General features: G+C 44.9%; 1 long non-coding RNA gene across 1 annotated transcript in view, besides 3 other annotated features; it reads right to left on the reverse strand.

The window, feature by feature from the left end:
- Positions 1-25385, reverse strand: part of LOC101927066 (uncharacterized) — a 494634-nt gene that overhangs the window by 233098 nt on the left and 236151 nt on the right. The window lies entirely within an intron of this gene.
- Positions 20544-21343: an enhancer, noted in NCBI's record as "OCT4-NANOG-H3K27ac hESC enhancer chr8:98217733-98218532 (GRCh37/hg19 assembly coordinates)". NCBI's record gives its function as "activates a minimal SCP1, AML or CMV promoter by ChIP-STARR-seq in primed H9 embryonic stem cells {active_cell/tissue: H9 hESC(primed)}" and the evidence as "EXISTENCE:reporter gene assay evidence [ECO:0000049][PMID:30033119]".
- Positions 21344-22143: an enhancer, noted in NCBI's record as "OCT4-NANOG-H3K27ac hESC enhancer chr8:98218533-98219332 (GRCh37/hg19 assembly coordinates)". NCBI's record gives its function as "activates a minimal SCP1, AML or CMV promoter by ChIP-STARR-seq in primed H9 embryonic stem cells {active_cell/tissue: H9 hESC(primed)}" and the evidence as "EXISTENCE:reporter gene assay evidence [ECO:0000049][PMID:30033119]".
- Positions 22940-23234: a silencer, noted in NCBI's record as "tiled region #2413; K562 Repressive DNase unmatched - State 8:EnhW". NCBI's record gives its function as "represses a minimal TATA promoter and a strong SV40 promoter by Sharpr-MPRA in K562 cells {active_cell/tissue: K562}" and the evidence as "EXISTENCE:reporter gene assay evidence [ECO:0000049][PMID:27701403]".

The raw sequence follows: 25385 nt of genomic DNA on the forward strand, positions 1-25385 counted from the left end.
GCATCTGGAAATGAGGTAGTCCAATGACCACAGTCCAAGTTGTGGTCATTGGTTGGCTTTGACAGTGACATTCATAAACTCTCAGTATTACAGCCTAACACCTCTGGGATAGAAATTGATGTATCCACTTTCAGCCAGGAGAGAAAGAGAGAAGCTTCTCGGGGAGAGTCCACACTCCCCACCATGGGGCTCCCTCTCTGGGAAGACAGTAGCTACTCTCAGCATGCCAGCTCCCACAGGGCTCACAGACAAAACATCATACAGATGAAAGCACCCTATCAATCTAGTTTACTTCTCTCTCCTTTGGGAGTGAAGATGAGCTTGTGGGATCATAGCAACAAACTGTAAATAATGGTTGCAGGGACAAATGGAGGACGAGAGCATCTGGGCAGGCTCCTGGCTGCTGCTGCATTCCAGGTCCGCCTGCTTCAGTCACCACCACGCCCAACTCAGAGACACCTCCCGAAGGCAGTGTGTGTCCTCCTGGATTTTATTTCTGCTGCACTTTGCCTTCCTATTCCTGCCAACTTCTGTTTGTTAAAAGTTGAATGATACAACCATAGCTGAGTGAAAACACGGCCGGCAAATCTAGCTTTCTTCTCAAAACTGGGCACTCCCATGAGGTCCTTTGATTCTCTGTGAGAAGGGAAAATGATATCTCCTGAGGTATCCAGCTGGGTAGTTAGTCAAATATGTACATGGAGTGGCCACTGAGTGCCAGGCTCCGGGGATGCAAGTGAATACAAGGGGTGGGGAGGGCATGGGTCTTATTTCATGGTCCTAGCGGTTTAGATGGGAAGACGACTGAAATAACTAACTACCAATAACAAATGAAAATATGGCTAAGTGCCAAGTGCTGTGAGGGAGGACAGTGGGCAATGGGAGCTCCAGATGGGGACCAACCGGGTGTGGGTTCTATGTGGTGAAAGTTCACACACACTCACTGACGTGTGAATATCCACGGAGCTTTATAGCCATAGCTACACCCTTACCGTCACTCCCTCTCTGCATCAATCTCAGGCATTTCCCTAAAAATGCACTCCCAAGTCCAGGGTTAAGCCATGTTTTCCAGCTCCTAGAAGCAGTGCTGGCAGCAGCAGTGGTTGGGTCCATAGTGGTGGTCAAGGCAGGACCCACAGCAGGAAGACTCTGGTGCTACAGCAGCAGCAGCAACGTGGTTCTAATGGCAGCAGCCTCTGTGATGAACTGAACTCCCTGGGTGCATCATTTTGCCTTTTTCTCCATGGCCTGAGGAGCAGTAGCAACTCTCCGCAGTTACTAATCTGTGGTTTCCCTTACTGTTCTCCTTATGCCATCTAGATTTTTCAGTCAACTCCCCAAATAGAATTCTCTCTGATTGAAATATGCCATCTAGATTTTTCAGTCAATTACCCAAATAGAATTCTCTCTGATTGAAATCTCTGGCATGTTTCAGTTTTCCTGACTGGACACTGACAGACACAGGGTGCAAAGATGTCTAAGAGGTGGCCGTGCCTTCATGGTCTGCTGAGGACACACCCTCGGCCTTCCCAGTGGTGACATTTGAGTTCTCTTCTCACTTCGCTGAGAGCGACGGGGTAAAGAAGAGAAACCCCTTCACTATCCCCAACTAAATGTGTCCTAGCTTGACTCATTGTGGGGACTAAGAGCTTTCTCTCACTAAATGTAGGTATCCCAAAGCTTTGTGAATTGCTAGAAGTAACTTGAGAAAAATAGAAAGCAGTGGAAAGCATGTGCTGAAGGAAACTTAGCCAGGGAACAGAGAAGTACGAAGGACAGAAGGCGACCTACAGAGAGGACTCAGAAGGTTAAGAGTGAGCAGTAAGTAGGAAGAAGCAGAATTCAGGTTTGTCAAGGCCACCTCAGCCTGTTGGCCAGACTGGGTGTGATGAAGGAGGAATGAGTTTCCAATCTGCTCAGGGAATTGGGATATTTCTGCACAGCCAATTTCAGTCTAAAGCTGGGTTTATATCTGCAACCTCTCTATAACATGGTGGCTAAGGCATGGCTTGTGTGTCAAATCACACACTAGCTACACGATTTTGAGCAGGTTTTTATACTTTTCTGAGCCTCAGTTTTCTCATCTGTTTAACAAAAAAATAGTAGAATGGGGGGAATATGATGGTCAATTTTAGGTATCAATTTAGCTGGACCATGGCATCTAGATGTTTGGCCAAACACATCTGGATGTTGCTGTGAAGGTAATTTTTTTAAATTTGAGGTTAATGTTTAAATCAGTAGATTTTGAATAAAGCAGATTATCTCCATAAAATGGTGGGTCTCATCCAAGCAGTTGAAAGCCTTGAGAAAAAGACTGACCTCTCTTGAGGAAGAGGGAGTTCTTAGCCTTCAGACTTGAGCGGCTTCATCAACTCTTCCTTGGGTTTCCAGCCTGTCTTGTAGATTTTGAACTTACCAGGCCTCCTCCAATTGCAGAAGCCAATTCCAATTCTTGAAATTAATCTAAATTAATCTCTTTCTCTCTCCCTCTCTCCCCTCCCTGGAGAACTACTATAGAGAGTAATCATTTCTACATTGCCAAACATGGAAGCCTCATAGCTTTGGAAGCCATTACTCAGCCTCCTACAACTTGGTTCCCTGGGCTGGGCTGATGCCCTGAGTTCAGAGGCGTTTACATTATGCCCTAAGTAACAGCAAAAATCAAAGCCCCACTGATAGGAAGAGAGGTCATACCATGAGCCCCCAAGACAGCCCACTTCAAGACCCAAGGGATGAATAGGGCATGTTTGCTGAAGGGAGACCCCGTAATCCTGCCAAAGACTGACTCCTTGGCTGCCTTCCAGAAGCTTAGCTTGAATCAGAAGAGGCCTTGGCTGGGCTCATTCTTCTGAGGGGAATGGGTAAGGGGAGGAATGGCAGAGTCAGCCCCAGCAGAAGTTTATACTGGCCCAGGAATTCATTTGGGAAAAACAGTCTGACTACTAGACCGATTAAAAGGAGGACTCACGGCCGGGCGCGGTGGCTCACGCCTGTAATCCCAGCACTTTGGGAGGCCGAGGCGGGTGGATCATGAGGTCAGGAGATCGAGACCATCCTGGCTAACAAGGTGAAACCCCGTCTCTACTAAAAATACAAAAAATTAGCCAGGCGCGGTGGCGGGCGCCTGTAGTCCCAGCTACTCGGGAGGCTGAGGCAGGAGAATGGCGTGAACCCGGGAAGCGGAGCTTGCAGTGAGCCGAGATTGCGCCACTGCAGTCCACAGTCCGGCCTGGGTGACAGAGCGAGACTCCGTCTCAAAAAAAAAAAAAAAAAAAAAAAGGAGGACTCACAAATCCTTTTTTCCCTAATCTGTGGAACTTTCTGTGCCAAGAAAAGCAGCTTAATTTTTTTGACATAGCAAACTTTTTCTCCCATGTCCAGCTCCAATCTCAAGGAGGAGAAAACCATCTATCTTCATCTGTGCTAGCAGGCTGCTCAGTATGAGAACATGGAGGACTGAAATGATTAAGCCTGACAGGCAAGTACAGTTTTCTTTTTGCACAGGGAACGGGAGCAGCAGGCAGGAAAATTCTCAACTTTAGCTCTCTTGCTCTCTGGTCCTCACTCTGACATCATTGGCCCCTCACTGAATCTGCTTTCTTCTCTGTAGCTGCTGTATTCTTGGTCTACAGCTTTAGTCTCTCCTTTTCTCCCACAGCCCCTGCTTGTTTAGCCCGGAGTGTGCGCAGATGTAAAACCATTACTCTTCAATCTTTACTTCCCTGGTGATTCTTCTGAGAGGTGCCCTGCACAGATGTTGGCAATGCCCAACTCTATCCCCTCTGCATTTACCATCACTGTAAATGTAGCCCAACTCTCACCTGCCAATCAGCACCCATGATGCTTTTCCCACAGCCTCGCTCTAACTGTTACAGCTCCCTCTACCCACTGTGCCCTCTGGGGCCCACCCAGCTCCCTCTGCCCTCAGATAGGATGACTCCAAGGCCTGTGCTCTATGCTGGCTCCCAGCATTCCTCAGTGTCCACAGCAACAACTTGCCTGATGAGGGGCTTTACTTGGCTGCCTTCCCATCTCAGTCTTACTGCCCCACTCCTCACCAGTGCTTCCTGCAATCACCTCCCAAAAACTACAGTAGTCCCCTCGTATCTACAGTTTTGCTTACCAAAGTTTCAGTTACCCGCAGTCAATCCAGTCCAAAACTATCACATCACTATTCTTGTGCTTTGGGGCCAGTCTTAAGTAAAATAAAGGGGACTTGGACACAAGCAATACCATGACAATTTGATAACTGAGAGGGTGTATTAGTCTGTTTTCACTCTGCTATAAAGAACTGCTCGTGACTGGGTAATTTATAAAGGAAAGAGGTTTAATTGACTCACAGTTCAGCATGCCTGGGGAGGCCTCAGGAAACTTACAATCATGCAATCATGGCAGAAGGCCAAGGGGAAGCAAGGCACCTTCATAAGGCTGCAGGGAGGAGACGCACCAAGGAAGGGATAAGAGCCCCCTTATAAAACCATCAGATCTTGTGAGAACTCACTCACTATGAGGAGAACAGCATGGGGGAGACTGCCCCCATGATCCAATTACCTCTGCCTGGTCTCTCCCTTGACACATGGGGGGTTATGGGGATTACAATTCAAGATGAGATTTGGGTGGGGACACAAAGCCCAATCATATCAGAGGGCTACTAGGTGACTCAAGGTGAGCAGTGCCACAATGTGGAGATGCTGGACACAGGGAAGACTCATGTCCTGGGTGGGATGGTGCGATATTTTGTCATAGTACTCAGAACTGAGCCCTATTCAAAACTTATGCATTGTCTATTTCCGGAATTTTACATTTACATCACAATGCCTACATCATTCACCTCACTTCATCTCATCACGTAGGCATTTTATCATCTCACATCATCATAAGAAGGGCGAATACTGTACAATAAGATATTTTGAGAGAAAGACTACATTCACATAACTTTTATTATAGTATATTTTTATACTTGTTCTATTTTATTATTAGTTATTATTGTTAATCTCTTACTGTGCCTAATTTATAAATTAACCTTTATCATGTATAGGTATCTATAGAAAAAAACATTTTATATATATATATATATATATATATATATATATATATATATATATATATATATGTATAGGATTCTGTACTCTCTGCAGGTTTCAGGCATTCACCAGGGAACGTATCACCCATAGATAAGGGGGCTGCCATATTTGCACTTGGATTCTTGCCTCAGGGTCTGCTTCTGGGAGAAATGTGAGCTGGAACATCCTCCTGTCATCTCTGGCACTCCCTGTGTTCCCCACATGCCCATGGGCATGAGCCTTGGAGCAAACTTTCCTATCTACTATTATGGCTTCATACCTTGAAATCTGCTCACTTTGGTAATAATGGGAGAAAGCAGATAGGGCCCAGCATTTCCTTGCTGTTCGTTGTCAGCCAAGATTGTTCGCTCCTGTTTGCTTATTATCTCATTTTTACACCCTACTTTAGCTTCTCCCACAATAAACACACACAGGCTTCCTTCTAGAAGCTATCCCAATGTTGGTCTATGGTAAGCTTCAAGTTTTTCTTGCTATTTTGCTTCTTTCTCATTTTTTAACCCATCTCTCTCTCTCTCTGTTTAAAAGAGATTGGTTCACGACCTCTGGAACAATTCAAACCCATCACGTGACCTCCTTCTTCTACTCCCAAGCCAAGTGCAGGCAAATGGCTCTCCTAAGGAATCTTCAGTCATCACTTGCCCCCATTGCAACTCTGTCAAATCAGAAACTGACCTTCCTGAGTCAGCCCCTTTCAAAGCTATTATTATTTATCTTTCTGGTCTCCAAATGCCCTCAATCTAGTTGACATCATTTTAATGCAGACAGGCTTGAACTATACCCAGGGTGGCTCGGCATCCATTGACTTGCATCCTGTCATTTCCAGCAGTGACAGGACCCCTAAGTCAGCTTTGCCCCGAAGTGAGGTCGATGACCTCAGTAATTATTGCTTCACTCCTGGGTGTCTCTCGCTGTGTGTGGCCATTAATTCCTGGCTGATAGTAATGCTTGTTCAGTGTGATTTAAAAAACAAAACCTAATACAAATAACTATTCCTGTTGCTGGTAATTGGATCAAACTTCCTCAATGTTATCCCTAACAGAACCCAACTCTCTGGAGAAACCCTTGATTGGGATTTGGAAGATTGAAAGGTCAGTGTTCAACTCTGTCCCTACCTCTCCAGGTCTTCCTTTTTGCCTATCCCATAAGTTTCTAAATGACTTTGAGGTTGGTGGGTGCGGGGAAGCCATGAAGGTCAATGCAAATCTCCTGGGCTTTGAAATCCTGACATCCGGGTTATATCTCAGTTCTATCATTTGCTCGGCATGTGGCCCCTAAACAAGTTAACCACCACTCTGAGCCTCAGTTTCCTCAAGTGTAAAATAGGAAAGATAAAATCTACCTGCACATTAAAAGTGACACAGTGTATCTAATTCATGGGTCAATTATGGAGAGGAGTGTGTTGAAATATTTCACTATGATGGTGGATTGGTTGATTTCTTCTTGAAGTTCTGATAATGTATACGGAGAACTTAGCACAGGGCAGGCATGGTCGGCACTAAATAAACACACACATTTAACCGGCGGAAAGCTAACGTAGGGTGATAGATACAACATTTTATTTTTCACAGCCATAAAAAAGAAAGAAATCATGTCCTTTGCAGCAACATGGATGCAGCTGGAGGCCATTATCCTAAGCGAATTAACACAGGAACAGAAAACCAAATATTGCATATTCTGACTTACAAGCGGGAGCTAAACACTGGGTACTCGTGGACATAAAGTTGGCAACAATAGACAGTGGGGACTACTAAAGGGAAGAGGCGGAAGGAGGGAAAGGCAGAAAAACTAACTGCAGGGTACTATGCTCAGTACCAGGATGATAGATCATTCGTACTTCAAACCTCGGCATCATGCAATACACCCATGTAACAAACCAGCACGTGTACCTCGTGAATCTAAAATAAAAGTTGAAAAAAAGTCATATGTGCTATGTTTGAATTCCAGCTTATGCATCTATTAGCTGTGTGAGCTTTGAAAAAAAAAAAAAAAACACTTAAATGAGTACTAGTTCTTCATTTGTAGAATGGTGGTAACAATTCTAGATATATGGTGGGCATTCAGCATTTCCTATTTTTCCTGTATTTCTTTTCAACTACTTCAAAGTTGAGGTAGTCAATAGTGTGGACTCAGTATAATCGATTAGGGCGAAATGTGTTTGTCATTTGTTGTTGCTTTGTTATTATTTTGCCCCATGTCTTCTAATGTTAAACTTTCCAATTAAACAAAATATGGCAAAGCCTGAGACCACGCTTAGTTAACAAAAAGGTAAAATCTAAAGGTCTTACTGTCCTGTATGCCCCAGGTGGGGATTAAGCCACATATAAAAGTGTGAACCTTATCTCCTAAGATTCAATAAATGTATTTTATTTTGTTAGAAAGCAATTTCCTTCAGGCTTAGGTCAGAATTTCTCTGAAATAAAATGGCAACATATCACTACTTTGTCACAATTCTCAGTAAATCATTAGAGCTGTGAAAAATAAATTTCATTTTTAACAAAACATCTTTCTAGATCAGGGTCAGCAAACTATATGGCCCGTGGGCTAAATCTAGTACACTGCCTATTTTTGTATTTTTTACATTTTAAAATGTCCTTTTAGAAAAATTAAAAGAAGAAGAATATTTTACAACACAAGAAAATGATGTGAAATTCACATTTCTGTGCCCATAAATAAAATTTTATTGGAACTCAGCCACACCTATTCATTTATGTATTATCTTTGACTGCCTTCATGCTACGAGAATCGAATAGTTGCAGCAGAGACCATATGGGCCACAAAGCCTAAAATATTTTCTACCTGGCCCTTTATATAAAAAGTTTTCCATCTTCTGATCTAGATTCGAGATCGATGGTTTATTTAAACTATGTTAACTCTAAAAAACTGCCTCCAAGTTACCTCAAGTAAGAGGGATTTATCATCAGGCTCCAGGTTTCCACAGAAAGAGCTGGGGCAATCCTAGAGCAAGGTGCTGGCGTGCAGTAGGCTGCCGTCCTTGAGCGGATGCCTCACTGACAGCGACGGAGTTCCAGCCATGCTGCACTTGCTCCAGCCACTGACTTAGAGACAGCAACCTGTACAGGCACCAAGCAAAAGAAGAAATCTGGAGATCTCAATGAGACCAGGAAAATCTCTCTTCAATATTTCAAACCTTTCAAAAGCCAGGTTGGTTTTCATTTCCTTATCTTCCTACTGTTGACTGAGTTCTAGCTACGAGGTGCTGTGCTGAACACTTAGATCCATTGTGTCCTTGACTCTTCTTAAGAGTTCTGTGAGGTCAGTGTGATTATCTCCATTTGACGGCTGAATAATCTGAGACTGAGAGAAATTAAACAATATGTCTGCTTTCGTTTGTCCCCTCCAAAACTCATGTTGAAGTTTGATTCTCAGTGTGGCAGTATTGGGAGGTGGGGGCTAGTGGAGATGTTTGGATCATGGGGGCAGATTTCTCATGAATAGATTAGGGCCCTTCTTCTGGGCTGAGTTCTCGCTCTCAGGAATGGATTAGTTCTGGAGAGAGCAGGTTGCTAAGAAGAATCTGGCTTCTTCAGTCAGCGCTCTTGCTTCCTATCTCTCCATGTGATCTCTGCACAGACCCACTGCCCTTCTACTTTCCACCATGAGTTGAAGCAGCCTGATGCCCTCAGCAGATGCAGCTGCCCAATCTTGAACCTTCCAGCCACCAAAATTATAAGCCAAATAAATCTTTTCTGTATAAACTACCCAGTCTCAAGTATTCTGTTATAGCAACACCAAACAAAGTAAGACAATGTCCAAGGCCACCCACCTACAAAGTGTGGATTTGAGGTTTTAAACTCAATTTTTCTGACTTCAAGAGCCCCTGGTTCTACTCATTATACTCTACTATCTCATCTATGCATTTTTTTTCTAAGAAATGGAAAGCAAAAGCATGTACATTTTAAAATAAAGTCTGAGCTCTTGTCTGTTTTTCACTTTATTAAGGCTATGGAGTTGGGTACAAATCCATCACTGTGGGATCCCAGATGCAGTTAGTTGATTATACCTGAAAGGTGTAATAACTTGCTTAAATGAAGCTTCATTCATAACCACCAGTGTTCACTCTATCTCCCGAGATGTCCAGTGATTAATTTCTCACACACTCGGGATTTGGAAACTTAAACGTGAAAGTGAGTGGCTCGGCAACCCTCCAAACTGGACTATGATGTGACTTTTCCCCTGGAGGTGCCACCACTATTGTGAAAAGCATCACTAAGACTCAATCTCCATGTAGGAATATAGTCCATTTGGATTGCATAAGAAACACACAGTCTAGGATGCAGGGGTGTCCTGGATGTCCATTTGGTGCAGACTCCTGTGCAGTCCCCCTGAGAACTCAGGAACTTAGCCTGTTGCAGAACATATGATGGGCCCCAGGGAGAGGGCAGAGGGATCTTCCCAACATCCCTCAAAAGATCTGAAAGGAGACATTGAGTTTTATAAAGAATGATTGTCTTCAGGTAGCAACTAAAAGCTAAATTTTGCGTCCCCAGGAGATCCTGATAAGGATTCTGTCTTAAAATCCTAAAAGCTGTCTTTTGGCAGAAATGCTCCAAGCAATATTTTTTTAAGTTTCAAGTGTAAAATATGAGTGGCATATGTATGCTCATTTATATTAATGTTATAAAACTCATCAAACATAAAAAGATGAAGTATATGACCAGTATTAGCAATGGGCCTAATCTATTTTTTAAAGAAGGAGAATACAATATATGTCTAACACAAATATCAAAAATAGACCCCCCAAAACCCTGTAAAATAACTAACTAGCACAAATGGTTACAGGATGCTGATCTATGCCCAGTGGCCAATGTGAGGTGCAATCACAGATCAGGTTGGGGATAAACAGTTTATGTCAGTGAGGCTGCTTTGGGTGTCTGGGAAATAGACCAAGCTGACAGAGGGCAGAGGACTCTATGGAAGGAAGGCCCTGGGGATCTAGAGTCAGGAAAATCAAGAATGAAAGCATAAATGACAGAAAAGAAAAAGCACCTCCCATCCTCCTGTCAATGGTAGATGGCAGACTGGGTCATGCATTTCTCTGTTCTCCCCTCCCATTCCCTCCCTGTCTCCCTCCCCTGTCCCCAGTAACAACCTCTCCAAACAGTATCAGGACTTGAGTCATCAAAACCATCTTTGTGGATCTTGTACTTACAGTCCTCTCTCTTTGATTTAAAAAGAGATATTGCCCCCACTTCCTATGACCTGCCGTTTCTTGGTGACATGCTCTCCTAGCACAGCTCCCAGGATTCTGTCCATAGTGGTGCCAGGAAGTGGGCACACTTTGGCCTTTCTGGATGTGACAAGACACCGTCTTTACCGGGAAAGCAAGCCAGTTGTGGGGGAAGAAGTTGACTATTCAGGTAATTGTTCTGATTGCATCTGAATCTCTGGACACAGAGTGAGGCTGGGAGGTCAGGAAGTGATGAGGAGTTCTGAGGTGGGGTGGAATGGGGGAATATTACCTCTCTTCCAAGCAGTGACATCACATGAAGAAATACCACCTGCGAGTAGTGAGAAAAAGCCCAGGATGATTCAATAACACTGTAGCAGAGGGCGAGTCTCCCATGCTAAGGACAGGCTATGTGGCCATCTTCAATAACTCCATCCCACCCATCCCCCATGCTTTAGCACTTGCCATTTCCCAGCACCATGCTCAGCAGAGTACATATAACGAATGCAAAGACAAGTCACGCAGCACATAATAGGCACTTAGCAAATATTTGTTGAATGGATATGAATGAATAACTAAAGACAGTCTCTGCTCTCAAAGTTTTCACACTCCAATAGAGGAGACGCAAGCATGGAAAATGTAGTGCTAAAACAAAGGTGTGAACTGGAAACCATACCAGAACACAGGGGTGACTAATTACTTCTATTTGGGTGGGTCAAAGAGGATTGAGTCTGGGTTTTGAAAGAAGAGTAGAAGTTTTTCAGTTGCAACCCAGGCAGAGAAAATACCATATGCAAAAGTACAGAGGCTAGTATATGCAAAAGTATAAAATAGAATATGCAAAAGTATGACATAGTTGGGGAGCTGGAGCTGTTCAATATGGCTGGAGAGGTAAGTATAGTACTCGGGATGAGGGGAGGATCACGACTGAAAAGGTCAAGAATTGAATCATAGAAGGCTTGACGTGTTTTCCCAAGAAGTATGAAATACCATCCTGTATGGGATGGATATATCAGCATCCTGTAACCATTCACTTTAGTTAGTTATTTGTTTTACAGGGTTTTTGGCATATTTTTTAGTATTTGTGTTTAACATATATTTTATGCTACTTCTTTAAAAAAAGATTGGCCGGGTGCTGTGGCTCACACCTGTAATCCCAACACTTTGGGAGTCCGAGGTGGGCAGATGACCTGAGGTCGGGAGTTCAAGACCAGCCTGACCAACATGGAGAAACCCTGTCTGTACTAAAAATACAAAATTATCTGGGCATGGTGGCACATGCCTGTAATCCCAGATACTCAGGAGGTTGAAGCAGGAGAATAAGTTGAACCCAGGAGGCGGAGGTTGCAGTGAGCTGAGATCACGCCATTGCACTTCAGCCTGGGCAACAAGAGCAAAACTCTGTCTCAAAATAAATAAATAAATAAATAAAAGATTAAGCCCATTGTTAATATCCGAATATATACTTCACCTTTTAATGTTTTATGAGTTTTATAACCTTAAAATATGCTGCTCATTTTTTTATGAATGATTTCATTTTTCAAGAACTAGTAATTCAATTGATTGGATTGGGTGGACTACGGTTATTCATTGGATGAGGAGAAATTGAATTTAGGCAAAATCTTCCTGTCAGGTTTGGGTAGGCACACACTCAGCCAGCCCTATCATTTCAGCCTGAAAGAACCTGTCCTGCAGCGTGCTGTGACTAAGGTGCCTATCCCCTCTGGGGGTTCCAACGTGGGGGTGTGCGTAGACTCTGGACCCCGCACGCCGGGCAGTGTGTGGACAGTGGTGGCTGGTGCCTGATGCTGCCATGCTGTTCTTCGCACTGGCTCCAGGTTTCCTCTCACATTCAGTCTTGCCTCAAGACATAGGACAAATGGAAATAAACTGTCGCAGTTGGCCCCTTTCCCAGAGAAATTATATTTAGCCTCCAAAAGCAGCAGGCTTCAAAATGGCATGGTTGTCTCAACTAAAAATGGCCATCCGGAAGGAGCTGGATTATGGGAAGCCATCCAGAGATGAAGAACAGGCCACTTTGAGGCAATGATTATTATGTGCTTCAAGGAGTCCTGTTCTCAAGTCCTCATGGACTGGGCCAAATTAAAACAGATGGGCACATGACATTTAGAAGCAACCATAAAAAGGGCTTATCTGGAGGGTCCTAGGCCCAGAGCCAAGGCTGGCCAAGGCAAATTTCAGCCAACTTCAAATTTATGCTCCACAACATAGATAGCATTTACTATGTCATAATATTGAAGGCCTTTTAGGGCAAAAGACGCAAACAGACATCATACAAAGGGAATGATAAAAGTGTCAAACGTATGTTTTTTAAAGCTCAATCTTTGCCAAGAAACAAAATATAAAATACCATTTTTCAAAAATGTTTTAAAAATAATTATAGATAGTAAAGTTTTGGGAAATAGGTATTCTCTTACAATGCTAATAAGAATATAAATTAGTTGAGCTATTTAGAGTTTTGTTTTAGAAAAAGCACTTTGACTAAGGGGTGGAGAATGGATTGGAAGGGCTCAAAATTTAAGGCAAGGAGACCACTTAGGAGATAGGACAAAAGCAGAGGGGAGAGTAGCCTGAATAGGGCAGTGGCAGAGGGGTGCAGGAAGTGAACAAAATCAAGAAGTATAACTCACAAGTCTTGAGAATTGATTGGATTGAGTACCTGGGTGGACAATGGCCATTCATTGAAAGAGGAGACATCATCATCACCATCACCATCAGTGCAAACTTTTATAGACCGCTGAGTAGGGTGAAGCACTGTTTTGAACACTTTAAAAGTATTAATGTGTAAGGAAAATACCTAATGCATGAGAGCTTAAAACCTAGATGACGGGTTGATGGGTGCAACAAACCACCATGGCACGTGTATACCTATGTAACAAACCTGCACATTCTGCAAATGTATCCCAAAACTTAAAGTAAAATAAAAATAAATAAATAAATAAAAGTATTAATGTGCTCAATCCTCACAGTAGCCCTATGAGGTTTGTCCATTCTTGTCCCCACCTGATCAGATAAGGAAACTGAGGCACAAGAATTGAAAACTTGCCCAACGTTCATACATTGGCATTATTCTCTTCCTTCACCTTTGTTTATGGTATTGTTAAAAATGGAAACAACTTCAAAATATCACAATAGTATATTGATTATATAAATTATGGCCCAGTCACATGATGGAGTTCATGTTTTAGAAGAATATTTAATGAATGGAAAAAGACATAGAACATAAGTTAAAAAGTGAGTTATAGAATTCCAGGTGGGGGTGGCTGGTTGCAATGGCTCACACCTGTAATCCCAGCACTTTGGGAGGCCAAGGCAGGCAGATCACGAGGTCAGAAGTTCAAGACCAGCCTGGCCAACATAGTGAAACCCCATCTCTACTAAATACAAAAAAATTAGCCGTGCATGGTGGTGGGTGCCTGTAATCCCAGCTACTTGGGAGGCTGAGGCAAGGAGAATCACTTGAACCTGAGAGGCAGACGTTACAGTGAGCCGAGATTGCACCACTGCACTCCAGCCCCAGCGACACTGCAAGACTCCATCTCAAAAAAAAAATTGGGCCAGGCGCGGTGGCTCATGCCTGTACTCCCAGCACTTTGGGAGGCCGGGGTAGGAGGATCACCTGAGGTCGGGAGTTCAAGACCAGCCTGACCAACATGGAGAAACCCCATCTCTACTAAAAATACAAAATTAGCCAGGCATGGTGGCACATGCCTGTAATTTCAGCTACTCAGAAGGCTGAGGCAGGAGAATCGCTTGAACCTGGGAGGCAGAGGTTGTGTTGAGCCAAGATCTTGCCATTGCACTCCAGCCTGGGCAATGAGAGCAAAACTCCAACTCAAAAAAAAAAAATTCCAGATGGGAGTATTCCATATATATATATATGGCTCCCATTTTCTGACAGGAAAAGATCATTTAAAGTAAATCCACTTAAAATATTAAAAAAGTGTTATAATGAATAAGCAAGAAAAGATTTGATTAGGGTTGTGTCTTTAAAAATTAAGCTAAAAATTATGAAAATTTTTATTTTATCTTACATTTAACACTATATAGATTACTATTAAAACTTTGAGCTAATTCTTGGAACCCAGACTGAAAGGAGGCTTAGATATGAGCTTTCTGAGAAACTATATGATGACTTGAGTACCCCCTAAAGTGAATCCCGAGTCAAGGACTTGTGTGCTGCTGGTTGACTCAGCAGGAGATCCAAGTAGCATGGCTGAGGAACCAAGGAGAGGGAGGAGAGGAAGAAATGCAATGCAGGGTGCATTATTATCAAGGTCACTCCTGTTGACAGCTAGGATGTAGCCTCACCAGTAACCTCTGAGGAGGGCATAGAATGCATCTCAGAGTTATCCACCTGGGGACTGACTGGAGGACTATTTCTCCATCAGCTCCTTGCCCACATTGCTTATGGGTTGTTCCTGGGGCCATTATTGCTCCCAGCACTTCTGGGCTACTTGTGTCTGTTTGGGAAGCAGTGCTGGTGTCTACAGCATAGAGAAACCCAGGAGGGAAGTGAAAAGCAGGAGTCCTGAGTGTGGAAGCCCACAGGGAACTGCCTTCCATCCTGCAGCCTTGGCTGTGATGAGAGGAAAGAGCATGAGCACATGAATCTGGCCATCAGAGGTGGGTGACTGACACGATAGCACACATCATAGCATTCTCATTTGAATCACAACATGATCATACTGAGGACCTCTGCAAAAGCGTTGCATAGAAGTCTTCATCAGTTTTCCCAAAGGCCTTTTGTATCCTTTAATATTCAACTCTTTTAAACCACCTTCCATGCTGTGCTGTTTCTCTTCTTTAATTGTTAACTGTCCCATCCCTGCCAAACAATGTTTGTTGATGACTTGGTATGTGTTTTCTGCAGTTCTCCAACTCACTTGAATCAGCTTCACAAAACAATGCATCTTTTGCAAGATTTGAGATTTCTCTTTGCAGTGAACTTGCAATGCATTTGCAATGAGCAGGCTAACCAACAAAAATATTCATGTGAGAGTGGGAGTATATACAGGGAGGGCTGGCTGTTAAGAGTGAGAATTAATTTACTCAGTGGTCAGTTTATTACTTCTAGTTAGTGTCCTTAACCCACATCCATACCCTTACCTTCTCCCAGTTGGTTGCCTAATGAATATATCCCTTGGAAAGCAGAGGTCAATGCCTAAAGCATTGGAAATTCCTACCACACAACTGTATATTTCCCTCACAGCCACTCCCAGAAGAGAAAAGCAATGCAGGGTGTGTCCTCTCAAGCATCTCTGCACCTTCCCTACCACCTAGTCATGCCTGACTTCATCCTTGCCGGACAATTTCCCAACATGGGCTTCCTCTGCCAAGGATGTGAACTAGAATTTCTTTTCATGTCACCTTAGTAATATCTCACTGATATACTGAGACCTCCAGACCCTTAACACTAACTTCACTCTTACCCTCAAAGCCTCCTGACCCCATGCTTCATTTTCTTTCACATTAGGCAGGAAAATGTTGGTATTATAAAAACATGGATTGGAAGTGTCAGGCCTCTGAGCCCAAGCCAAGTCATCGCATCCCCTGTGACTTGCACGTATACACCCAGATGGCCTGAAGTAACTGAAGAATCACCAAAGAAGTGAATATGCCCTGCCCCACCTTAACTGATGACATTCCACCACAAAAGAAGTGAAAATGGCCAGTCCTTGCCTTAAGTGATGACATTCCCTTGTGAAAGTCCTTTTCCTGGCTCATCCTGGCTCAAAAAGCTCCCCCACTGAGCACCTTGCGACCCCCACTCCAGCCCGCCAGAGAACAAACCCCCTTTGACTGTAATTTTCCTTTACCTACCCAAATCCTATAAAACGGCCCCACCCTTATCTCCCTTCGCTGACTATCTTTTCGGACTCAGCCTGCCTGCAACCAGGTGAAATAAACAGCCATGTTGCTCACACAAAGCCTGTTTGGTGGTCTCTTCACATGGACGTGCATGAAATTTGGTGCTGTGACTCGGATCGGGGGACCTCCCTTGGGAGATCAATCCCCTGTCCTCCTGTTCTTTGCTCCGTGAGAAAGATCCACCTACGACCTCAGGTCCTCCGACCGACCAGCCCAAGAAACATCTCACCAATTTCAAATCCGGTAAGTGGCCTCTTCTTACTCTCTTCTCCAACCTCTCTCACTGTCCCTCAACCACTTTCTTCTTTCCATTCTTCAATCTCTCCCTTCTCTTAATTTCAATTCCTTTCATTTTCAGGGAGAGACAAAGGAGACACGTTTTATCCGTGGACCCAAAACTCCGGCGCCGGTCACGGACTGGGAAGGCAGCCTTCCCTTGGTGTTTAATCATTGCAGGGACGCCTCTCTGATTATACACCCACGTTTCAAGGGTGTCAGACCACGCAGGGATGCCTGCCTTGGTCCTTCACCCTTAGCGGCAAGTCCCACTTTTCTGGGGAAGGGGCAAGTACCTCAACCCCTTTTCTCCTTGTCTCTACCCCTTCTCTGCTTTTCTGGGAGAGGGGCAAGTACCCCTCAACCCCTTCTCTCCTTGTCTCTACCCCTTCTCTGCTTTCCTGGGGCAGGGGCAAGTACCCCTCAACCCCTTCTCCTTCACCCTTAGCGGCAAGTCCTGCTTTCCTGGGGCAGGGGCAAGTACCCCTCAAACCCTTCTCTTTCACCCTTAGTGGCAAGTCCCGCTTTTCTAGGGGGCAAGAACCCCCAATCCCTTATTTCCGCACCCCAACCTCGTATCTCTGTGCCCCAATACCTTATTTCTGTGCCCCGACCTCTTATTTCCATGCCCCAACCCCTTATTTCTGTGCCCCATCCCTTATTTCCATGCCCTGACCTCTTATCTCTGCGCCCCAACCCCTTTTCCCACTTTTCTGGAAGGTAAGAACCCCCGAACCCCTTCCCTCCGTTTCTCTACTCTCTCTTTTCTCTAGGCTTGCTTCCTTCACTATAGGCAACTTTCCACCCTCCATTCCTCTTTCTACTCCCTTGGCCTGTGTTCTCAAAAACTTAAAACCTCTTCAACTCACACCTGACCTAAAACCTAAATGCCTTATTTTCTTCTGCAATGCCACTTGACCCCAATACAAACTCAACAGTAGTTCCAAATAGCCAGAAAACGGCACTTTGAATTTTTCCATCCTACAAGATCTAAATAATTCTTGTCGTAAAATAGGCAAACGGTCTGAGGTGCCTGACGTCCAGGCATCCTTTACACATCAGTCCCTTCCTAGTCTCTGTGCCCAGTGCAACCCGTCCCAAATCTTCCTTCTTTCCCTCCTGCCTGTCCCCTCAGTACCAACACCAAGCGTCGCTGAGTCTTTCTAATCTTCCTTTTCTACAGACCCATCTGACCTCTCCCCTCCTCGCCAGGCCGAGCTAGGTCCCAATTCTTCCTCAGCCTCCGCTCCTCCACCCTATAATCTTTTTATCACCTCCCCTCCTCACACCTGGTCCGGCTTACAGTTTCGTTCCGTGACTAGCCCTCCCCCACCTGCCCAGCAATTTACTCTTAAAAAGGTGGCTGGAGCCAAAGGCATAGTCAAGGTTAATGCTCCTTTTTCTTTATCCCAAATCAGATAGCGTTTAGGCTCTTTTTCATCAAATATAAAAATGCAGCCCAGTTCATGATTTGTTTGGCAGCAACCCTGAGACGCTTTACAGCCCTAGACCCTAAAAAGCCAAAAGGCCGTCTTATTCTCAAAATACATTGTATTACCCATTCTGCTCCGAAATAAAACTCCAAAAATTAAATTCCAGCCCTCAAACCCCACAACAGTATTTAATTAACCTCGCCTTTAAGGTGTACAATAATAGAAAAAAGTTGCAATTCCTTGCCTCCACTGTGAGACAAACCCCAGCCACATCTCCAGCACAAGAGAACTTCCAAACGCCTGAACCGCAGCAGCCAGGCGTTCCTCCAGAACCTCCTCCCCCAGGAGCTTGCTACACATGCCGGAAATCTGGCCACTGGGCCAAGGAATGCCCGCAGCCTGGGATTCCTCCTAAGCCGCGTCCCATCTGTGTGGGACCCCACTGAAAATCGGACTGTTCAACTCACCTGGCAGCCACTCCCAGAGCCCCTGGAACTCTGGCCCAAGGCTCTCTGACTCCTTCCCAGATCTTCTCGGCTTAGCGGCTGAAGACTGACACTGCCCGATTGCCTCGGAAGCCCCCTAGACCATCAAGGACGCTGAGCTTCAGGTAACTCTCACAGTGGAAGGTAGGCCCGTCCCCTTCTTAATCAATACGGAGGCTACCCACTCCACATTACCTTCTTTTCAAGGGCTTGTTTCCCTTGCCTCCATAACTGTTGTGGGTATTGACGGCCAGGCTTCTAAACCTCTTAAAACTCCCCAACTCTGGTGCCAACTTAGACAATACTCTTTTAAGCACTCCTTTTCAGTTATCCCCACCTGCCCAGTTCCCTTATTAGGCTGAGACACTTTAACTAAATTATCTGCTTCCCTGACTATCCCTGGACTACAGCTATATCTCATTGCCACCCTTCTTCCCAATCCAAAGCCTCCTTTGCGTCCTCCTCTTGTATCCCCCCACCTTAACCCACAAATATGAGATACCTCTACTCCCTCCTTGGCGACCGATCATGCACCCCTTACCATCTCATTAAAACCTAATCACCATTACCCCACTCAGCGCCAATATCCAATCCCGCAGCACGCTTGAAAAAGATTAAAGCCTGTTATCACTCGCCTGCTACAGCATGGCCTTTTAAAACCTATAAACTCTCCTTACAATTTCCCCATTTTACCTGTCCTAAAACCAGAAGAGCCTTACAACTTAGTTCAGAATCTGTGCTTTATCAACCAAATTGTTTTGCCTATCCACCCCGTGGTGCCAAACCCATATACTCTCCTATCCTCAATACCTGCCTCTACAACCCATTATTCTGTTCTAGATCTCAAACATGCTTTCTTTACTATTCCTTTGCACCCTTAATCCCAGCCTCTCTTCGCTTTCACTTGGACTGACCCTGACACCCATCAAGCTCAGCAAATTACCTAGGCTGTACTGCCGCAAAGCTTCACAGACAGCCCCCATTACTTCAATCAAGCCCAAATTTCCTCCTCATCTGTTACCTATCTTGGCATAATTCTCATAAAAACACACGTGCTCTCCCTGCCAATCGTGTCTGACTGATCACTCAAACCCCAGCACCTTCTACAAAACAACAACTCCTTTCCTTCCTAGGCATGGTTAGCGCGGTCAGAATTCTTACACAAGAGCCAGGACCGCACCCTGTAGCTTTTCTGTCCAAATAACTTGACATTACTGTTTTAGCCTAGCCCTCATGTCTGCGTGCAGCGGCTGCCGCTGCATTAATACTTTTAGAGGCCCTCAAAATCGCAAACTGTGCTCAACTCACTCTCTATAGTTCTCATAACTTCCAAAATCTATTTTCTTCCTCATACCTGACGCATATACTTTCTGCTTCCTGGCTCCTTCAGCTATACTCACTCTTTGTTGAGTCTCCCACAATTACCGTTGTTCCTGGCCCGGACTTCAATCTGGCCTCCCACATTATTCCTGATACCACACCTGACCCCCATGACTGTATCTCTCTGATCCACCTGACATTCACCCCATTTCCCCAAATTTCCTTCTTTCCTGTTCCTCACCCTGCTCACACTTGATTTATTGATGGCAGTTCCACCAGGCCTAATCGCCACACACCAGCAAAGGCAGGTTATGCTATAGTACAAGCCACTAGCCCGCCTCTTAGAACCTCTCATTTCCTTTCCATCGTGGAAATCTATCCTCAAGGAAATAACTTCTCAGTGTTCCATCTGCTATTCTACTACTCCTCAGGGATTATTCAGGCCCCCTCCCTTCCCTACACATCAAGCTCGAGGATTTGCCCCCGCCCAGGACTGGCAAATTAGCTTTACTCAACATGCCCTGAGTCAGATAACTAAAATACCTCTTAGTCTAGGTAGATACTTTCACTGGATAGGTAGAGGCCTTTCCTACAGGGTCTGAGAAGGCCACCGCAGTCATTTCTTCCCTTCTGTCGGACATAATTCCTCAGTTTAGGCTTCCCACCTCTATACAGTCTGATAACAGACGAGCCTTTATTAGTCAAATCAGCCAAGCAGTTTTTCAGGCTCTTAGTATTCAGTGAAACCTTTATATCCCTTACGGTCCTCCGTCTTCAAGAAAAGTAGAATGGACTAAAGGTCTTTTAAAAACACACCTCACCAAGCCAGCCACCAACTTAAAAAGGACCGGACAATACTTTTACCACTTTCCCTTCTCAGAATTCAGGCCTGTCCTCGGAATGCTACAGGGTACAGCCCATTTGAGCTCCTGTATAGATGCTCTTTTTATTAGGCCCCAGTCTCATTCCAGACACCAGACCAACTTAGACTGTGCCCCCAAAAAAACTTGGCATCCCTACTATCTTCTGTCTAGTCATACATACTCCTATTCACCGTTCTCAACTACTCATACATGCCCTGCTCTTGATTACACTGCCAGTTTACACTGTTTTTCCAAGCCATCACAGCTGATATCTCCTGATGCTATCCCCAAACTGCCACACTTAACTCTTGAAGTAAATAAATAATCTTTGCTGGCAGGACTATGCTGAATCTCCTTAGGCACTCTCTAATCAGATATCCTGAGTCATCCCAATTCTTAGACGTTTTATACCTGTTTTTCTCCTTCCGTTATTCCATTTAGTTTCTCAATTCATCCAAAACCGTATCCAGGCCATCACCAAATGTTTCTTCTAACAACCCCACAATATCACCCCTTACCACAAGACCTCCCTTCAGCTTAATCTCTCCCACTCTAGGTTCCCACACCGCCCCTAATCCCGCTTGAAGCAGCCCTGAGAAACATCGCCCATTCTCTCTCCATACCACCCCCCAAAAATTTTTGCCGCGCCAACACTTCAACATCGTTTTGTTTTATTTTTCTTATTAATATAAGAAGGCAGGAATGTCAGGCCTCTGAGCCCAAGCCAAGCCATCGCATCCCCTGTGACTTGCACGTATACACCCAGATGGCCTGAAGTAACTGAAGAATCACAAAAGAAGTGAATATGCCCTGCCCCACCTTAACTGATGACATTCCACCACAAAAGAAGTGAAAATGGCCAGTCCTTGCCTTAAGTGATGACATTCCCTTGTGAAAGTCCTTTTCCTGGCTCATCCTGGCTCAAAAAGCACCCCCACTGAGCACCTTGTGACCCCCACTCCTGCCCGCCAGAGAACAAACCCCCTTTGACTGTAACTTTCCTTTACCTACCCAAATCCTATAAAACGGCCCCACCCTTATCTCCCTTCGCTGACTCTCTTTTCGGACTCAGCCTGCCTGCACCCAGGTGAAATAAACAGCCATGTTGCTCACACAAAGCCTGTTTGGTGGTCTCTTCACAGGGACGTGCATGAAAGGAAGGGCTTTAGCACATCAGACAACTACCCCCATTCATTGACATGTATGTTCGTCTGTTTTCTGCTGCTATAACGGAATACCTGAGACTGGATAATATGTTGAAGAAAAGAAATTTATTTGGCTCATGGTTCTGGAGGCTGGGAAGTCCAAGATAGAGGGGCTGCATTTGGTGAGGGCCTTCTTGCTGTGTCAGCCCACGGCAAAGGCAGAAGGGCTAGAGAGCATGTGTCCACATGAGAGAAAATGAGGTCAATCTCATCCTTTTATCTCTCACAACAGCTAACCCACTCATGTAACAACAGCATTAATTCATTCATGGAGGCAGAACCCTTATGACCTAATCACCTTCCTTTTAAAGGTCCCACCTCTAAACACTTTTGCACTAGGGATTAAGTTTCCAACACATGAACTTTGGGGAACACATTCAAACCATAGCAATGTGGGTCATGAACATGTTCTCAGTTTTATGTAAATTGTGAAAAAGCAGCTTTAGGGCAAGCCTCTTAGTCATCCCCTTTACCCCACAGTTGCCTCTAGCTCTGCCTAAGTGGAAATTCTGGCCCTACTCCTGACAGGGAGGGGCTTTATATTACTTGGTCATCGTTAAATCCCAAGCAATAATGATTGGCAGCTCAGTGCTCTAGGTAAAAGCATGAGTTCTCGTGTTTGAGCACCTGGCTTTGGGACCTGGTAGCACCATTTACAAGTCATGTTACTCAACTGCTCTGTGCCTCATTCCTCCATCTGCAAAGCAAATATAATTATATCAGCTACCTCTGGGCAGATGAGGATTAGTGAGTTCATTCATGAGAAGCACTTAGACCAGCACCTGACTTTGAACAAACACTCAAACATTAGCCAAAGCTATTCTCCTCCCTCCAGTTTGAGATAGAGAAATAATACTTTTCATGTGGACCACATGTGATGAAAGAAGTCTGAAAGAAGCTAAGAGGATGACCATCAATTAACAACCTTCTTGGAGGGCACAACTTTCCTCTATCATGTCTGAGAATGTAGAGAGGGCTTATCCCAGCTCCCCTGGTTAGCTGAGCCTGACTCAACTGAGCCTCCTTAAGAAGATGAATAGATCATGGAAATTTATTAGCAAGCACCAGAACCATCATTGTGGAAGCATTTCTCCAAAAGCCATAATTGAAGGCTAGAATGTATGACATGGGGAAGTGGCAAGGGCCTGAATTAAACAGGGACTTTGTCACTTCATTTTTCAAGAGGGATGTGAAATCTGCACAGCCTCAGAGATCTGTATCCAGAGTTCAGTGGGTATTCATCCATAACCTGAGACCAGAAGCGTTTGGCTGAGTCAGGCTGTCATTAAGGGTCACTGGGGGTGCTGACTGCAGCTTATCAAAGGCATCCTACTAAACTGAGAAAGCCACAGATGAAATAAACAGGACCTTGGCCCCACTGGAAATGGAGCTTTCTTTGCAGGGGGCTGACCTTGTTTTTGTAAAGGGCTTTGATTATCAGTTGATCTGACTCCAACAGGGTCATTCTAGGGCAGAGGGAACCACCTCCAAGGGAACCAATGCTGGTGCCAACACACGTAGGTGGGTACTGCCCACTTTTGCTTATGTAACCCTTCACCTGCCAACTTCCTTCCCACCTCTGCCACTATGGGAAGGTGGCATAAACTCACTGACATACCCATTTCCAAGGCCTAGCAGGCCAGCCTTGTGTCCTAACTAACATAAGACAATGTTTAAGCACAGTTGCGGGGAGCACCTTTTGGCTATCAAATGACAAGTAACAATTTGTGTCTTTCAAAAGCAGCAGCCAAGCCCAGGTCACTTCAGGAGGGTGCAGCATACAGACCCTCTTCTCCCACCATGTGAAATAAGAACTGCTGTTCACTGAGAGCTTATCCAGGACCACACCCCTTGATCCACATGGGGATCCTGTGAGATAAGACAATCTCCACCTACAAATGAGAATTAAGGTTCAGAGAGATTAAGTAACTAGCACAAAGCAGCCCAGCAAGGAAGTATGAGTGGGGATTCATACTTGGGGTGTTGAATATAACCCAGAGGTGTCTTACACATGCTATGTCTGAAGATCCCCAGAAGCCTTATTAGTCTTTGGTAAAACTGAGAGGCAGCGAAGTTTATTTTTGGTTGTCTCCTGCTTGGCATTCAGTGTTTCTCCCCCAAAATTAACAGAGCACCTCTCTTTGTTGGGTGACCCCCTTGCCCAAACACGTGTATTCCCCTTTGTCTTCTTCCCACCTCCATTGTCCAATCCACATGCTCTTCGTGTTTCTGCCTTAGCTTCCATCTGGAACAAAGAACACTGATGAATGAAACACATCAACTCAACCAACCGAGGTTGATGATGACTGCTGCCCACCTCACTCAGGGTTACTCATGCATTCAAAACTTAACTCCAAATAATGAATTGTGATGGTTCTGAAAAGTACCCAGTATGGCCTAGAGAAGGGGACCTCCAAGCTGTGTCTAAAATAATCCAGGCCTTGGGTTGGCCATGGTGGCTCATGCCTGTAATCCCAGCACTTTGGGAGGCTGAGGTGGGCAGATCACCTGAGGTCGGGAGTTTGAGACCAGCCTGACCAACATGGAGAAACCCTGTCTCTAGTAAAAATATAAACAAATTAGCCAGCCATTGTGGCACATGCCTGTAATCCCAGCTACTCCGGAGGCTGAAGCAGAAGAATTGCTTGAACCCGGAAGGCAGAGGTTGCGGTGAACCGAGATCACGCCATTGCACTTCAGCCTGGGCAACAAGAGCAAAACTCCGTCTCAAAAATAAATAAATAAATAAATAAATTCGAGGCCAAAGGGCTATGTGTGCTTTCTTTCCTCTCCTCCATATGGTTCTTGAGACGCCATGAATAATCCAGCTATACCCAGCGATTCCGGGGGGTTCAGACCAGAGCTCCCCTGGCCATAGGCCTTTGAGTTATATCCATTTCAGGGGTTCCGGAGCTGATTCCTAGGCTCAGCGTAAAAAGTCACTAGGCACAGTGGCTAAGCATCAGATGCCTGAGTCAGGCGGCCCAGTTCATAACATGCTCTGCCATTAACTAGCTCGTTCGCCCTGTACACATTACTTAACTGCTCTGAGCTTCAGCTTCCTTATCTGTGGGGAGGGGCCAGCACATAGGAGGCACTCTATAAATTGATGGACAAATGGCAATAATAAAATGACCTTCTTCATATTCTTCATAGGATTGTTGTGGAGGATATATGTGTGTGTGTGTGTGTGTGTGTGTGTGTGATTTATATGTGATATATATAAAGGCAGTGTTTGACTCCTAGTAAGTACTCAATAGATAACCATTATACTGTCCAAAGGTGTGACTTGCCCCTGACCCTGGAGATCTGAATCATATAAGGGGTCAAAAGGCATGAATTCGAATGGTGGGTGAGACTCAGAAGTGGCCTGCTATAGTTCTGGGCCATTACATTCCTGTTAGGTGCCCAGGTTATGGTCTAGTGAGCAGGAGAAGATCCAGTTGCCCCCAACTCCCTCTCAGTGAGGGGATGGAAGTTAGTGAGCCAGGCCCTGTCCTTTGATATGCATGGCAGGGCTTCAGTCCGAATGGGGAAACAGGGAAACTTGTTGTTGGTTGATGTGCCTCCTGGTCCTCATTCCTCAACACCAGACTCATTCCAGACCCCTGCTGGTGCACCGTGCACCATGAGGCTCAG

The sequence above is a fragment of the Homo sapiens genome, chromosome 8, assembly GCF_000001405.40.
Source record: "Homo sapiens chromosome 8, GRCh38.p14 Primary Assembly".
Lineage (NCBI taxonomy): Eukaryota > Metazoa > Chordata > Mammalia > Primates > Hominidae > Homo > Homo sapiens.